Below are 18378 nucleotides of genomic sequence, written 5' to 3' on the forward strand. Positions count from 1 at the left end.
TATTTAAAGAACAATTCTCAGATGACATCTGAAAACTGGCAAATTTATGACCTGGCCATCCTATTTAATATCAAGACCCACATAAGTACTTCCAGTCACTCTCTCCCTAGCCTACTTCCTCCCTATTGGATTGATCGCTTTTTAACAAACTAATTAAAACTACAGTTTAATTAGTTATTCATAGAAAATAAACAATGAGCATGTCTAACCAATTTATTAACTGACTCAATGCTAGTACTGACCATGTCAAATAACAGTTTCTTAAGTAGGTGAGTGTGGATATGGGTGTGTAGTTTTCTACAGCTTCTTAAGTAGGTGAGTGTGGATATGGGTGTGTAGTTTTCTACAGTTTCTTAAGCAGGTGAGTGTGGATATGGGTGTGTAGGTATTTGAAGAAGGAAGGTAAATTTCTAAACTGTCTTTATTTCAATTATGCAGTAATCATTTTGTCCTACCATTATTATTTAAAAATATTATTTTAATGAGAGTATACTAGTCCTTGCTCTTAATATGATAACTTATTTAATCATTTCCCTATTATTGGGCATTTAGAAATTTTTCAAAATTTTCCTATCATAGTGTTTTGATGAACAATGATATACAAACTGTTTGTATTTCCATTCATAAAAATTTATAAAAGATTCACAAAAGCAAAATAACTTACATTAACATTTTAATGGCTCTGTTTATATAGTGTCAAATTGGTTTCAGGATAACTAAACCAATATACACTAAAAACAACAATAAATATCTATTTTTTAGCACTGGTGCCACTATTGAGTGTGCGTAATTTTAAACATCTTTGCCAAAGTTAAATAAGGGTGTCTCATACTGTTGTAATTAAGCATTTTTATTAGCAGTAAGTTGAATATTTTGCTCACATATATTGAACATTTGTATTTCTTTGTAAATGCTCTGAGTTTTTGAGACTTTTCTATTAGGAAATTGGTTGTTTAAAAGCTAAAGGCTCCTTTAAAGCTAGAGCAAAATGTTTGTTCATCATTTTAATTTTTAAAAATTAGCATTTTTAAATTACACAAGCAATTGTTCTTCACTGTCAGAAAATTAGAAAGTAGAGAAGAAAAGTATTAGATGTTTTAAGATTAAGCCATTCTTATAGTCCAGGGATTTAAATAAATCAATTTAGTCATGATGGATTATTCTTTAAAACGGTGCTTCCCAAACTGTCCCATACAAAACTAGTTCTAAGATAGATAGACCACTAGCCAGACTAATAAAGAAGAAAAGAGAGAAGAATCGAATAAACGCAATAAAAAATGATAAAGGGGATATCACCACTGATCCCACAGAAATACAAACTACTTTCAGAGAATACTATAAACACCTCTACTTAAATAAACTGGAAAATCTAGCAGAAATTGATAAATTCCTGGACACAAACACCCTCCCAAGACTAAACCAGGAAGAAGTAGAATCCCTGAATAAACCACAAACAAGTTCTGAAATTGAGGCAATAATTAATAGCCTACCAACCAAAAAAAGTCCAGGACCAGAGAGATTCACAGCCAAATTCAACCAGAGGTACAACGAGGAACTGGTACCATTCCTTCTGAAACTATGCCGAACATTAGAAAAAGAAGGACTCCTCCCTAACTCATTTTATGAGGCCAGCATCATCCTGATACCAAAACCTGGCAGAGACACAACAAAAAAAGAAAATTTCAGGCCAATATCCCTGATGAACATCAATGCGAAAATCCTCTATAAAATACTAGCAAACCGAATCCAGCAGCACATCAAAAAGCTTATCCACCATGATCAAGTTGGCTTCATCCCTGGGATGCAAGGCTGGTTCAACATACACAACATACACAAATTAATAAACGTAATCCATCACATAAACAGAACCAACGACAAAAACCACATTATCTCAATAGATGCAGAAAAGGCCTTTGACAAAATTCAACACCCTTCATGCTAAAAACTCTCAATAAACTGGGTATTGATGGAACATATCTCAAAATAATAAGAGCTATTTATGACAAACCCACAGCCAATATCACACTGAATGGGCAAAAGCTGGAAGCATTTCCTTTGAAAACCAGCACAAGGCAAGGATGCCCTCTTTCACCACTCCTATTCAACACAGTATTGGAAGTTCTGGCCAGAGCAATCAGGCAGGAGAAAGAAATAAAGGGTATTCAATTAGGAAAAGAGGAAGTCAAATAGTCCCTGTTTGCAGTTGACATGATTGTATATTTAGAAAACCCCATCAACTCAGCCCAAAATCTCCTCAAGCTGATTAGCAACTTCAGCAAAGTCTCAGGATACAAAATCAACGTGCAAAAATCACAAGCATTTCTATAAACCAATAACACAAACAGAAAGCCAAACCATGAGTGAACTCCCATTCACAATTGCTACTAAGAGAATAAAACACCTAGGAATACAACTTAGAAGATATGTGAAGGACCTCTTCAGGGAGAAATACAAACCTCTGCTCAACGAAATAAGAGAGGACACAAACAAATGGAATAACACCCCATGCTCATGTATAGGAAGAATCAATATCATGAAAATGGCCATACTGCCCAAAGTAATTTATAGATTCAATGCCATCACCAACAAGCTACCACTGACTTTCTTGACAGAATTGGAAATAAACTACTTTAAAGTTCATATGGAACAAAAAAAGAGCCCGCATAGCCAAGACAATCCTGGGCAAGAAAAACAAAGCTGGAGGCATCATGCTACCTGACTTCAAACTATACTACAAGGCTATAGTAACCAAAACAACATGGTACTGGTACCAAAACAGTGGTACCAGATGGGGTTTTCTAAATATACAATCACGTTATCTGCAAATACAGACCAATGAAACACAACAGAGGTCTCAGAAGTAACACCACACATCTCCAACCATCTGATCTTTGACGAACCTGACACAAACAAGCAATGGGGAAAATATTCCCTACTTAATAAATGCTGTTGGGAAAACTGGCTAGCTATATGCAGAAAACTGAAGCTGCACCCCTTCCTCACACCTTATATAAAAATCAACTCAAGATGGATCAAAAACTTAAATGTAAGAAATAGGACCATAAAAATCTTAGAAGAAAACCTGGGCAATACCATTCAGGATGTAGGCATGGGCAAAGATGTAAATAGATGTTCTTTGGGGTGAAAAAAAACTCCATGTTAAGATAAATTTTTGAAAGAATGCTTATCATATGGTATTCTTGAAAATTCACACTGTCCATACTGTTACAACTCAACAACAAAAAGACTGATAGCCTAATTTAAAAATTGGAAAAAGACTTGAATGGACATCTCTCCAAAGAAGATGTACGATGGTCAATAAGCACATAAAAATATACTCAGTGTCATTAATCATTAGGGAATTGAAAATCAAACCACAATGAGATACCACTTCATGTCTATGAAGTTGGCTATAAATAAGTAAAACACAAAAAAGCAAATGTTGGGAAGGATGTGGAGAAACTGAACCTCTCATACATTGCTAGTGAGAATGTAAAATGGTACAGTTGCTACATGAAGCAGTTTGGCAGTTCTTCAAAAAATTAAAAGAATTACCACAAGACCTAGCAATTCTACACCCAGGTATATACTCAAGAAAATTTCAAACAGATGTTCACACAAAAACTTGTACACAAAGATTCATGGCAACATTATTTGTAATAGCCAAAAGTGGAAACAATCCAAATTTCCATCAATAGATTGAATGGATATAAAATATGGAATATCCATACTATGGAATATTATTCAGTCACAATAAGAATAAAGTACTAACACGTGCTTCAATATGGATAAACTTGAAAAACATGTAAGTGAAAGAAGCTAGTCACAAAAGGTCACATGTTGTATGTTTCCATTTATAGGAAATGTCCAGAATAGGCAAATCCAGAGACAGAAAGAAGACTAGTGGCTGCCTGGGGATGAGAGGTGGTAGAATTTGGGACTGACTCCTAATAGATACAGGATTTTTTTCTGTAGTGTTAAAAATCTTTTCAAATTAGTGGTGATGGTTGCATAATACAGTGAATATACTAAGAATCACTGAATTGTATACAAAATGCTAAATTTTATGTATGTGATTTGTGTCTCAAAAGAAAAACACACTACTGTTTAACTTTGTTTAACCAGAATATTCCAAGCTTTTTTTATATTGCAGTACTATTTTCCATGTGAGACTTATTAATATATCATGTAGCACTAATGTTTGCAACAGCACAGTGTGGGGAAAGCTGGCTATTAACACAATATTTTAAAATTCATTCTAAGATATGGCTGACATCAGCTCCTTGCTGAAAAAGGGATAATAAGAAGAAAGAAACAGAGAGGCTAGGGATAAACTTCATCAGCCTCATAATTACTCTAGAGCTGGTCGTTTGTCCCACTCTCTAGAAAAAGAAAGCCAAATCCCAGTTAAGTTCTTCTCTTATTAGTAACAGATTTCTCTGTTTTTGTTATTATTGAAATGCTATCAAATCATATAAAAGTCAGGTTAAAAAAGAATCTTCTCATAATCAAATAATTATCTTTAAAAGAAAACTATTAAAGCAAAACATCTTTCCAGAATATGATCTTTGATAACTATATTTATTTTACTTTTAATTTGCTATTTACAAGAGTTCAAGTGGAGAGGAACTTTTCTGAAAGAGAACCGGAAATAACATAATTAACTTGATAATAACAACAACATGGTTCTGATGTATGAAAACATGTAGGAAGAAAAGCAGGAGAAGAGCTCAATCTGAATTTTTACCAAAATATTAACAATTTTGCTATTCTGTTTTCCAAAATGGCAACTCCCACACTAACAAGTATCTTTCCATTCAGACATTCAGAGTCCTGAAAACAGTAATTTAGTTGTGTGCTTGCCTCAGAGAACAGCCTACATGTCTATTATGCTAAATGCAAAACTCAGCATTGGAGGGTTGAAAACAAACTACAAAACAGAAGACAAAAGTGGAAACAGAACTCTCATTTGGTGAAGTGTCTTTATTGGACTCCTACATCTACTTTCAAATTCATATGTTGCATCAAGAACTATTTTCTAGGACATGCCAAGAATTCACTTTCACTACTTTAAAAAATATCTCAATGATAATTATCAGAATCACATCTAGGAAGCAATAACATTACACAATTATTTTAAGTTTTTCTTGGATTTAACTGCCAGGAAAAGTCAACTTTATCCAAGAGTATTTATAAGTCAATGAGTGTGAACATGGAACTCATTCATCATTATCTGGAAACCCCAAAAAAGGGCTGGAAAACCTCAAACCTCAAGAGTAAACCACACTACAAATAAAATGACTGCGAGGTCAGAGTCAACCTTTGAAGTTTATTCCCTGAAGCGTATACTTCAATCCTGTCTCCTGTTAAAATGAACAGTCTGACATACTCAGAAAAATGCCACTCTCCTTAGAAAACAGCATCTCTTATCAGCAAAGACCCATGATTCCTAAGTGTTTTTTTTTTTTTCCTCAATTCGTATTTAAGAAAGAGAGAGAAAAGTATTCCTGATTCTGTTTTTATCTGGTGAGGGATAAGGCTTCATTTACGGAAACTTATGTTCCAGAATTCTTAAACTTTGGCACATGAGAAAGTATCCCATGTAATGACCTCCTGCTGTGTTCCTGTTCATTCTCTGTCAGTCATCAGAGCAAATGTCTGCTTTAATAACAGAAATAAAGTTATGCTTTGCCAAGACAGAAGAAATATCTCACAAATACATTTTTAACACGAACAGGCAAAATTATAACATTATTTTCAAAAATCATAACTTACAAAGCTTAGTGGCAACTTCTGTCAGAGAATCTGCTCGAAAATGTACATTTCCTGATGTTCTTTTTTTTGTTTTTGATATGATTATATATGTTTCCTATATATGATTTATATACATATCAATTTTCTATATGATTCTGAGCATATTCATTTGAACAGATATAAGGAAGAGAAAGGAACTAGAAGAACTGCTCTTCCTTAGGGATATATTTTTAAAGTATCTACAATGGTTTCTGAGTACATATCTTTTTTTGTTTTTGTTTTTTTTTAAGTTCCGGGATACATGTGCAGAATGTGCAGGTTTGTTACATAGGTATACATGTGCCACAGTGGTTTGCTGCACCTATCAACCCGTCATCTAGGTTTTAAGCTCCACGTACATTAGCTATTTGTCCTAATGCTCTCTCTACCTTCACTCCCCACCCCCGACAGGCCCCAGGTGTGTGTTGTTCCCCTCCCTGTGTCCATGTGTTCTCATTTGTTCAACTCCCACTTATAAGTGAGAACATGCAGTGTTTGGTTTTCTATTCCTGTGTTAGTTTGCTGAGGATGATGACTTCCAGCTTCATCCATGTCCCTGCAAAGGACATGATCTCATTCCTTTTTATGGCTGCACAGTATTCCATAGTGTATATGTACCACATTTTCCTTATCTAGTCTATCACTGATGGGCATTTGGGCTGGTTCCATGTCTTTGCTATTGTAAATAGTGCTGCAATAAACATACGTGTCCATGTGTCTTCATAGTAGAATGATTTATATCCCTTTGGGTACATATCCAGTAATGGGATTGCTGGGTCAAATGGTATTTCTGGTTCTAGATCCTTAGGGGATCGCCACACTGTCTTCCACAATGGTTGAACTAACTTACATTCCCACCAACAGTGTAAAAGCATTCCTATTTCTCCACAGCCACACCAGCATCTACTGTTCCTTGACTTTACATATCTTATCAGGACTAAATTCCTGTATCTATGATCTGTGAAGTGTCCAGAGAAAACTGACATGAAAATTTTATTAAGGAGTTAGGAAATGGATGAGTCTCATGTGGAATGTGTGTTTTTGTTTGCCTAAAGGAAAGAAAACAAGTGACTTAATTACTTTTTAACAAATGCTTATCATTTTCAATTTTATAAGAAATTATATGAGAAAGGTGCTGAAGTTAAAGCAAGGGATTGCATCTTCATACAAGAGAATCTTCCTTAATCATTTCAATTGACATAATATTAAAATATATTCCCAAGAAACTGTAGACTTATCATTTCTGGAAAGAAAATGAAATAAAAACTGGAAAGAGATGAAATAAGAACCTAATAATGTAACATTAAGACACCAACATGCTGTAAGATACGAGGCTGGACTGCCAATCCCTTGAAGTTCTTTCCTTTTTTTTTTTTTTTTTTTTTTTTTGAGATAATCTCGCTTTGTCGCCCAGGCTGAAGTGCAGTGGTGCAATCTCTGCTCACTGCAACATCTGCCTCCGGGGTTCAAGTGATTCTCCTGTCTCAGCCTCCTGAGTTATTGGGACTACAGACATGTGCCACCACACCTGGCTAATTTTTATATTTTTAGTAGAGACAGGGTTTCACTGTATTGGCCAGGCTAGTCTCAAACTCCTGACGAGTGTTCCACCCACCTCACCCTCCCAAAGTGCTGGGATTACAGGCGTGAGCCACTGCTTCCTGCCCTCTATTTTCTTAATTCTATAGAAGATACTTAATCACTGTCCTACCTGCAAATATTAGTGTCTGCCACCTCCAGGAGAGAAATGGACAAAGCGGTAGCCAGGATGATCAATTTCCCCAGGACCTCTTTTCATAAGATTAACATATATTTGTATAGTTTTAAATGCATGTATAGATGTGTACACATATATGGACAAATATAGATTTAGAAATATCCTCAAACTTAAAGACAGTAATACTTTCCTCCCCACCCGCCACCCCACCTGGCCCAGTCTATACCCAAACACTTGTGCAGACACATGCATTTACTAAGGGCAGCTCAAATACCTTACGAATCCTCAAAGATTGTTATTGGTCTATTCATTCAGTAAATATTTATTGAGCACTGGTAATGTGCCACAGGAGTGAAGATGACTTCACAGGAGTGAAGATGACTTCACAGGAGTGAAGATGACTAGGTTATCTCTTTGTCTTCGAAGAGACTTAAAGGTTTTTAAACAAGCAAATTTGGTAGCTTGTTAGAGGTGACTGGTGGAGGTCCGAGAAGACGGAGAAGCACAGAGGAGGGAGTGGAGAATTCCACGGAGGTAGCGGGAAGGGAGGAGCAGAGGGGAAGGGTTCTAAAGTTTTAATAGAGGAGGTAAGTATGGAAGGGGGCCCTAAAAGATGGCAGAGGATTTGCCCCAGAGACCGAGCCAGAAAGAATTCCAAGGGACACAAACAAGGGCAGTAGACGTTTAAAAGAGCTGGAATTTTGAAGCTGTGTGTGGGTTATTTTAATTAGTGCAAGGGGGTATATGTGCATATGTAGTGGGAGTAGGTGTCTGGAAAAGAGGCTGAGAAGAGGTGTGGGAAAGGACAGCAGGGTTAGAGCAGAGAGGGCCTTTTCTCAGTCAAGGTTCTTTGGGTGATGATAAAAATCAAGTCAAGCTGGCTTGGGCTGCAAAGGGAGTTTAATGACAGGTTGCAGGGCTCAGTCTGAATTACAGCTCTGCAACTCCCTAAGCAAGCATAACCTCCCGCAAGTTACTTATGCTCTTTTTGCCTTGGGTTCTTTATCCATAAAATAAGGAGAATTATAGTAGAATTTTTTTTAGGATCAAAAGAGTTAATACCTGTAACACACCGGGCAGATAGCAAGTGCTTGATAATGTTAGCTATGTTTATGATTTCTTAGAATCCCCAAATATCTAAGCCTGATGAAAAGTAAGCCTAAAATAGGAGCCTGGAAAGCTCCGGTACCTCAGGCAGCATTCTGACTCTCTCTCTCTCCTCCTCTCTCTGCTCATGATTCCTCTGAGCCGTTATAGAGCATGGCTGCCCATAGCTCCTGAATGTTTACTTGTTCCTTGGATTCAGCTCATAAAGAGTTGGACTGGAATTGACATGTCTCAATTCCTAACTCCCATGCTAGTATATTTGACATAGCTTGGCTTTTGTACCTTATGGTTTAAACTAAGGCCAAAAGGTTAGGGTAAAAACATGATACAGTGGCCTATCTCTCCTGAGTGGCAGAAAAGGAGGGCAGAGGAGAAATATGTCTTGATGTCTAAGCAGAACTATTTTCACATCTGAGCCACAGAACAGGCTAAGCAATTTTAATCTTCAGAGGTTTTGAGCCACGGATGAATATCTAAGGAATGTGGTGGTCTTATTTCTTTGTGTCCTCCTTAAACTATTTTTTCCTATTTACACAGCCCTAATTCCTTTTAAGAATCTGGTAACTGCCAAATATCCATCCACTAAACAACAAAAGACATATCCATACAATGGAATATTATTCATCTATAAAAAGAAGTAGTGATATATGTTATGCCAGGATAAACCTTGAAAACATATTAAGTAAAAAAAGCCAGGCACAGCCAGGCGCGGTGGCTCATGCATGTAATCCCAACACCTTGGGAGGCCGAGGCGGTTGGATCATGAGGTCAGGAGACTGAGACCATCCTGGACAACGTGGTGAAACCCCATCTCTACTAAAAACACAAAAATTAGCTGGGCATGGTGGTGCACACCTGTAGTCCCAGCTTCTCGGGAGGCTGAGGCAGGAGAACTGCTTGAACCCAGGAGGTGGAGGTTGCAATAAGTTGAGATGATGTGCCACTGCACTCCAGCCTGGGCAACAAGATCAAGGCTCTGGAAAAAAAAAAAAAAAAAAAAAAAAAAAAGCCAGGCACAAAAGGCTGCATGTTATATGGTTCCACTTAAATGAAATGTCCAGAATAAGCAAATCCGTAGAGACAGAAAGCAGATTAGTGGTGGCCTAGGGGCTGAGGGGAGAAGAGAATAGAGAGTGACTGCTAATGGATACAGGACTTCTTTTGGAGGTGACATTAGCTTTCTGGAATTAGTGGTGTTAGTTGTACAATCTTGTGAATATACTGCAAATCATTTTAAAGGCTACAGCCTTTAAAATGGTAAATTTTATAGTATGTAAATTATAGCTTTAAAAGAATATCTGAGAACTGGATATGATGTCAGAAAGCCTGTTTTTTTTTCTTTTTTAAAAAAAAACTTATTTTTTTTTAATTTTAAGTTCTGGGATACATGTACAGAACATGCAGATGTGTTACATAGGTATATGTGTGCCATGGTGGTTTGCTGCACGCATCAACCCGTCATTTAGGTTTTACGCTCCACATGCATTAGGTATTTGTATTAATGTTCTCCCTCTCCTTGCCCCCTTACCCCAGCAACAGGCCCCAGTGTGTGACGTTCCTCTCCCTGTGTCCATGTGTTCTCATTGTTCAACTCCCACTTATGAGTGAGAACATGAGGTGGACACCTGGTTTTATCCTCACACTTACACTATCTCCTGCAATAGTCATCACTGGCCTTCCCAAGCATTGCTTCCTTACCTATACACTGGGGGTGGCGCTGATCCAGGCTCTAGGGGAGGTCCATTCCAGCTCTGAATTCTGTGGGTAAGAAACTTGAGTGCAGCTCCCCAAAATTAAAGTGAACTTCTCAAAACTCTGTCACTGGAACAATCTTCTCATTCTATTGCCCTTCTCAAAGAAAGGATTCTTACTTCATTCCGAGTCTTTAAATACCTATTTTGAGCATATAATATATACTAGGTATTTGAACTGATAATCTCATTTAATCCAACCTACAACTTTATGAACTGGGCACCATGGTTATTCTTGGTTTACAAATGCAGACATGGAGGTAAGTATGTTGCTCAAGTTAGCAAGAAACAGGGCTGGGCATGGAACCTGAGCTGCCTAACTCCTGAGTTCACGTACTGAGCCACCACGTTGAACTGACTTTCTCTACTAACTCCTCCACCTTGGCTCAAATCTCATGCCCTTGAATATCTGCTTTAACAATTTATTGGTTAATTAATTCAATAGCTGTATATTTGTCATGCTCACTATTTTAGTAAGCGATTCTTTTCAAGTTAGCTATTTGGAAGTTGGGAAATATCCCTGAATTATTTATCATATGTCAAATATAAACTAGATAAAACTAGTTCTTAATGAAGGTAAGAATGGAATACTCAAATGGAATGAATAAAGACCAAATGTAAGTTAATATCCTGTTAAAAGGAGAAATTAATGGCAATTTCATCTCTTGTCAGCTCTGCTCTTTGTACATTGGCTGGAGTAATTTGTTTAATTAATCTGGAGTCTTCTTGTTAATTACAGATCATTTACCATACCCAATAAAACATCATGCCTTTGAATTCCTCAAGTATGCTTAAATTGCATTTACTTCCGTGTTTCTTTGTAAAGAGGCAGACAAAATAAATTTAGCCAGGTTATTCTAAGTAAAGCATTAGCTTAATTTAGGCTAGTAAATAAGTACCACTACTTATACAATACTCTATTTAATGAAATTGTGAATGGCTGTCCCTCTTCATGAATATTAAGCCCTAAATATGTTCATGCATTCATAATATACATCTCAGTCACACAGACAAGACACCTAAGATTCAACTGCTGCTAATGCCCTGGGGAGTATGGGCCTTGGCGATAATTAGCAAGTTTGTAATAGGTTCTACTTAGTCTTAATGTGAAGGATAATGAAAAGTTAGCATACAGGCCCTGCATTTCTATGTTCAGTGAAAAATAAAACAAAATAGTAAAAACTTCATCCTGGCAATGAAACATTACCATAAAATCTAAAATTACTAATGAAGTACAATTTTTATTAACTAGTGACCAATATAAGATTTACTAAAGTTTGAAGTTTTTCTTAAAATATTTAAATAATTCACTCGGGAGGCTGAGGCAGGAGAATTGCTTGAACCTGGGAGGTGGATGTTGTAGTGAGCTCAGATTGCGCCACTGCACTCCAGCCTGGGTAACAAAGCAAGACTTCATCTCAAAAACAAACAATATATATTAAATATATTTAATAAATATATATATTTAATATATATAAATATATATTAAATATATTTAATAAATATATATATTTAATATATATAAATATATATTAAATATATTTTTTAATATATATAAATATATATATTAAATATATATATTTAATATATATAAATATATATATTAAATATATATTAATATATAATATTATATATAAAATATATATATTTAATATATATATTTAAATAATTCATTTTGTAATTATACTCCTATCTACCTAAACTGTCAAATCACATTGAAAATAATCTGATAATTAAGTTAAAAATTTCCAGTTCTGTGCAGAAAGTCATTGGTAGCTTGATGGGGATGGCATTGAATCTGTAAATTACCTTGGGCAGTATGGCCATTTTCACGATATTGATTCTTCCTACCCATGAGCATGGAATGTTCTTCCATTTGTTTGTATCCTCTTTTATTTCCTTGAGCAGTGGTTTGTAGTTCTCCTTGAAGAGGTCCTTCACATCCCTTGTAAGTTGGATTCCTAGGTATTTTATTCTCTTTGAAGCAATTGTGAATGGGAGTTCACTCATGATTTGGCTCTCTGTTTGTCTGTTGTTGGTGTATAAGAATGCTTGTGATTTTTGTACATTGATTTTGTATCCTGAGACTTTGCTGAAGTTGCTTATCAGCTTAAGGAGATTTTGGGCTGAGACAATGGGGTTTTCTAGATATACAATCATGTCGCCTGCAAACAGGGACAATTTGATTTCCTCTTTTCCTAATTGAATACCCTTTATTTCCTTCTCCTGCCTAATTGCCCTGGCCAGAACTTCCAACACTATGTTGAATAGGAGTGGTGAGATCATGACTTTCTTCACAGAATTGGAAAAAACTACTTTAAGGTTCATATGGAACCAAAAAAGAGCCCGCATCGCCAAGTCAATCCTAAGCCAAAAGAACAAAGCTGGAGGCATCACACTACCTGACTTCAAACTATACTACAAGGCTACAGTAACCAAAACAGCATGGTACTGGTACCAAAACAGAGATATAGATCAATGGAACAGAACAGAGCCCTCAGAAATAACGCCACATACCTACAACTATCTGATCTTTGACAAACCTGACAAAAACAAGCAATGGGGAAAGGATTCCCTATTTAATAAATGGTGCTGGGAAAACTGGCTAGCCATATGTAGAAAGCTGAAACTGGATCCCTTCCTTACACCTTATACAAAAATCAATTCAAGATGGATTAAAGATTTAAACGTTAGACCTAAAACCATAAAAACCCTAGAAGAAAACCTAGGCATTACTATTCAGGACATAGGCATGGGCAAGGACTTCATGTCCAAAACACCAAAAGCAATGGCAACAAAAGCCAAAATTGACAAATGGGATCTAATTAAACTAAAGAGCTTCTGCACAGCAAAAGAAACTACCATCAGAGTGAACAGGCAACCTACAACATGGGAGAAAATTTTCACAACCTACTCATCTGACAAAGGGCTAGTATCCAGAATCTACAATGAACTCAAACAAATTTACAAGAAAAAAACAAACAACCCCATCAAAAAGTGGGCGAAGAGCATGAACAGACACTTCTCAAAAGAAGACATTTATGCAGCCAAAAAACACATGAAAAAATGCTCATCATCACTAGCCATCAGAGAAATGCAAATCAAAACCACTATGAGATACCATCTCACACCAGTGAGAATGGCAATCATTAAAAAGTCAGGAAACAACAGGTGCTGGAGAGGATGTGGAGAAATAGGAACACTTTTACACTGTTGGTGGGACTGTAAACTAGTTCAACCATTGTGGAAGTCAGTGTGGCGATTCCTCAGGGATCTAGAACTAGAAATACCATTTGACCCAGCCATCCCATTACTGGGTATATACCCAAATGACTATAAATCATGCTGCTATAAAGACACATGCACACGTATGTTTATTGCGGCATTATTCACAATAGCAAAGACTTGGAACCAACCCAAAAGTCCAACAGTGATAGACTGGATTAAGAAAATGTGGCACATATACACCATGGAATACTATGCAGCCATAAAAAATGATGAGTTCATGTCCTTTGTAGGGACATGGATGAAATTGGAAATCATCATTCTCAGTAAACTATCGCAAGAACAAAAAACCAAACACCGCATATTCTCACTCATAGGTGGGAATTGAACAATGAGATCACATGGACACAGGAAGGGGAATATCACACTCTGGGGACTGTGGTGGGGTGGGGGGAGGGGGGAGAGATAGCATTGGGAGATATACCTAATGCTAGATGACGAGTTAGTGGGTGCAGCGCACCAGCATGGCACATGTATACATATGTAACTAACCTGCACAATGTGCACATGTACCCTAAAACTTAAAGTATAATTAAAAAAAAAATTTCCAATACTATATTTTAAAGATAGTGTTGAAAATACTAGTTTTATGTTAATTGCTTAATCTCTATTAAAAATATGACATGAATAGCTGAATGTTTAAGAGAAAAAATTACAAAGAAAAAATTCCTACACCTGTTCACTACATTCCCCCCCAACTTGGATTTAATCAAATTTTGTCACTTTAAGCTTTTTTTTTTTTGAGACAGAGTCTTGCACTGTTGCCCAGGCTGGAGTGCAATGGTGTGATCTCGGCTCACTGCAAACCTCCACCTCCCGGGTCAAGTGATTCTCCTGCAAGTACGTGGGATTACAGGTACCTGCCACCATGCCTGGCTAATTTTTTGTATTTTTAGTAGAGATGGGGTTTGACTATGTTGGCCAGGCTGGTCTTGAACTCCTGACCTTGTGATCTGCCCCACTTGGCCTCCCAAAGTGCTGGGATTACAGGCGTGACCCACTGTGCCCAGCCTTTTAAGCATTTTTTAACTTAAATGATTGTATTTAGAATTCCTAATTATTACAGAACAAAGAAATGAAACACATAGAAAATTACAAGAGTTTAAGTAAAAAAGTGCTATAATGGCTGATGTATTAGCTGAGCAAGATTATCTAGGAAGTACAAAGACCTTAATTTATGGAAGGTCTAACAATTTGAAATTTGGCTGCATTCATCAGACCTGCAAACCTGATTCTCAGGTTTCAGAGCCAGAATATAAAAAATTGGGTAAAATCTCTATCTTTTATAACCAGAATTCTAAATCTTGAGTAAATGCATTTCAGCCCTGGAAAAGGAACAATTTTGTATGAAAGGATATTCAAATAATCCTTCATTGAGCGACCACAATGAGCCTTGAAGATTTACATGATTGAGCTGGAATTCAAAGTCAAAGACAAGAGAGAATCATTTTTTTTTCTGGGATGCACAAAGAGATATCCATAATTAAACATCACACTTCCCAAGGGCAGCATGTTTTCTTATATTGACAAGTAAAATGAGGTATTTCAAATCAGGCATTGCTGGCTTACAGTCATCTTTTGCATAGCTATTGTCTTAACGTATTTCTGGCTATTAGGCATTTGTCTATTTTTGGTCAGTGAGGCATGCATGCTAAAGAATTCTGGCTTTGCATAAAAAGCTGTAGTAATGTTAGTGGAACTACATTTCTACAGCAATATCTTAAGTATAATTATGGACATTTTGGCTAGTCATACACACATTTTACATTCAAAGAAGAGTAGCTGTAACTTTAGTGTAATTAGTACAATTAAAATAACTACTACAAGTAGGAAAAAAACTTTCAGAAGTACCTATTTAGACTTACTAAATGCTTTACTCTGCCTTATTTGTCACAGCTAGTTAAACATATTGCACATTAATCCTGTGATATGTTGGGGAAATGCCAAATAAACCACATTTGCTTAACATTCCATCAAAAAAGTCAGAGACTAATGATAGATTATGTATTCAATAACTCTTTTGTTCTAGGTCAAAAAGTGCCACATTACTTTAGCCTGACCCTACCATAACTACTAACTACCAGAAAGCAGCAATATGTAGAAATTATGCCTTCTATAATTTTCCTCTACTTTCCTACCCTAATCAAATTAAATGTTTAATTTTGTTTTTAACTTGTAAAGAATATGTTAAACTTAGATCAAATACCCCAAAAATTAATGTGCTTTTTTTCAAAAGTGGCCATTTTATTTAAAAAGACATTTTACCTCCTGCTTTCCATTCTAAACATTATTCATGAAAATTAACTTTGTTATATAATATCCAGGCATATTATCAAATTTTACTTTTAAAGTTATTTACTACTGTCACATAAATACACATAATATTATTTGGATATTATCAGAACTTAATAAAATATCTCACCTACCTATACATCCATATAAAACATATGTCCTATAAAAATGCAAAGGATCTAGTGTAAGACCTGAGCTATGGAAGTCGCTGATGGGCTCTGCCCAAGCTCAAAAGTGTCTTTGGACCATTAAACCAATGATACAGGGTTGCCTGTGAGAGGAAGGCTAGGTGCAATTCAGGCTAATCAAAATATATTCTAATTCAAGTACAAATCGACTTTTTACAGCTTTCAAAGTTACCATAGGAAATGTCTTGAAGACCAGGTCTCTTAAATAATTTGTAACAATTTTATTCTTTGTTTGTTTGTCTTACTAGCTAAAATCTGAGGCAATATGATATATGCATTTTATATGTTCTCTCAAAATGTGCTTACAACACACTTAGGAATGATCTTTAATGATTTTCCTTATGTAAAGGAACTGACAAATGACAGTTTGTCAGTTCTGACAAACTGACAAACCATCAAATGATGGTTCCCCGCAATGACAAATGATAGTTCCTTAATTCAGCCAAGTCTCCTCAAGTCATCTCAACCTATATATCCCAGATTAATTACATTTCAGAACTGGTTTTTTCTTTTTTTGCTCCCCCTATAGGAAGTGTATATAAGCCCTGGACTAAGGAAATGGTCTGCTTCAGTTTCCAAGATTATAATCTGGAAAAGCTAATTTTATCGAGTGTTTTTTTATGTGCTAATGGCTTTACATAAATCACTTCCTCCTTTAATTATCAGGGCTACCCAGCATCTTATGAAGAAGGTAACCTTATCATCATCATGTCATATATGAGAAAATTAAGCTTAGAGAGGTTAAACGACTTGGCTGAGGCACATAACTAAGAGATGAATACTGCATCTACAAGCAGGTCAATGTGACTCACAGCCTGAACTCTTATCCCCCCACATCTGGCTCCTTCTTGTTGCCGATGCCCGCCTGTACTTTGGACACCTTACACGCCTTGCCATATCAGAATTTTTAACCACAGAACAATCTTTCTGAACCCCCTACTGGGCTCTCCAGTGTTTTCTCCATACTGACCTCAGAGTGATCTCTTTAAAATGAAAGGTTTGTGGAATCACTCCTCAGCCTAAAACACTCAATGCCTTTCCTTTCACTTAGGATAAAGGCCCCAAACTTACAATATCCTGAATGGTCTGGCTCTAGTCTCCTATCTAGCCGTATCCCCTTCCCTCTTGATTCCAAGTCCAGCCACTCCAAGGTTTTCTTTCAGTTCCTAGAACATAGCCAGCCTCTTCCCACCTGTGGCCTTTGCACCTGCTGTTCTTTCCTTTGGGTATGCTGTGCCCCACCATCCACAGACCTTTAGTTAATAATCTCTACTCCTTCATAGCTCTACTCAAATACCATTTCCTCAGGAACACCTTTCCAAATTACACCACACTTTACTCAAGACTGGATCTAGTTTCTCTGTCATACCCTTTCCCAGCACTCAGTACACTTCTTTGCCAGCCCCTAGCAAGGTTTGCTATGACATATTTACATGACCATTTAATCAACATCTGTCTTTCCAATAGAATAGAAGTCCTCACACTTTAACATGGATCAACATCACCTGGAGTGTTGATTTCAAAAAATGATCACAGGATCCCACCACTAGAATTTCTGATTCACTGTGTTTGAAGTCTACAATTCTGCAGTTACTGCTTTCCAGGTGATGCTGATGGCTGGATTGGGCACTGATCCAGTACAGTGGTTCTCAATCCTGGATAAACATTAGAACCACCTAGACAGCTTTAAAAAATCACCAATGCTCAGGCCCTCACCCCCAGAGGTTTTAATTGGACTAGGCTGGATCCTAGAAGGTCTTATTCCAAATATTGCATACTTATACTAAAAAAATTTTGTTTACCTAAAATTCAAATTTAACAAAGTGTCTGGTAGTTTTACTTGCTGAATCTGACAACTCTACTTATGAATCCTGCTGTAACAAAACAGGTGGTATGTAATATACTTATGTACTTATATACATATGACTATGACCTGACCCTTCCTCTCTGCAGAGCAGAAAAAGGATGGGACTAAATAAGTGGAATTTGTAGATCTAAGAGGACATTTTTCCCCTGAGGTTTGGACCTTAGAAGTAGTTACCAACAGACTGTGAAATCTAACCTGGGATCTTTTTAAAATACAGCAAATTCTCAAATGTGAAATCATTTAAAATGATGACTGAATGACTTCGAGGTTTCCTTAAGCTGTGGGCTGTGGACCTCATCTTGGGCAAGCAGTGACAATGCAGCATCAACACTGTTGCTCTGACATCAGCCAATGACTCATCTGGGCAGGGCTACTGCT

At 36.6% G+C, this 18378-nt stretch overlaps 1 protein-coding gene across 2 annotated transcripts in view; it reads right to left on the bottom strand.

Moving 5' to 3' along the window:
- RELN (reelin) overlaps positions 1-18378 on the bottom strand; it is a 517870-nt gene that overhangs the window by 426030 nt on the left and 73462 nt on the right. The window lies entirely within an intron of this gene.

This window comes from Homo sapiens, chromosome 7 (assembly GCF_000001405.40).
Source record: "Homo sapiens chromosome 7, GRCh38.p14 Primary Assembly".
Lineage (NCBI taxonomy): Eukaryota > Metazoa > Chordata > Mammalia > Primates > Hominidae > Homo > Homo sapiens.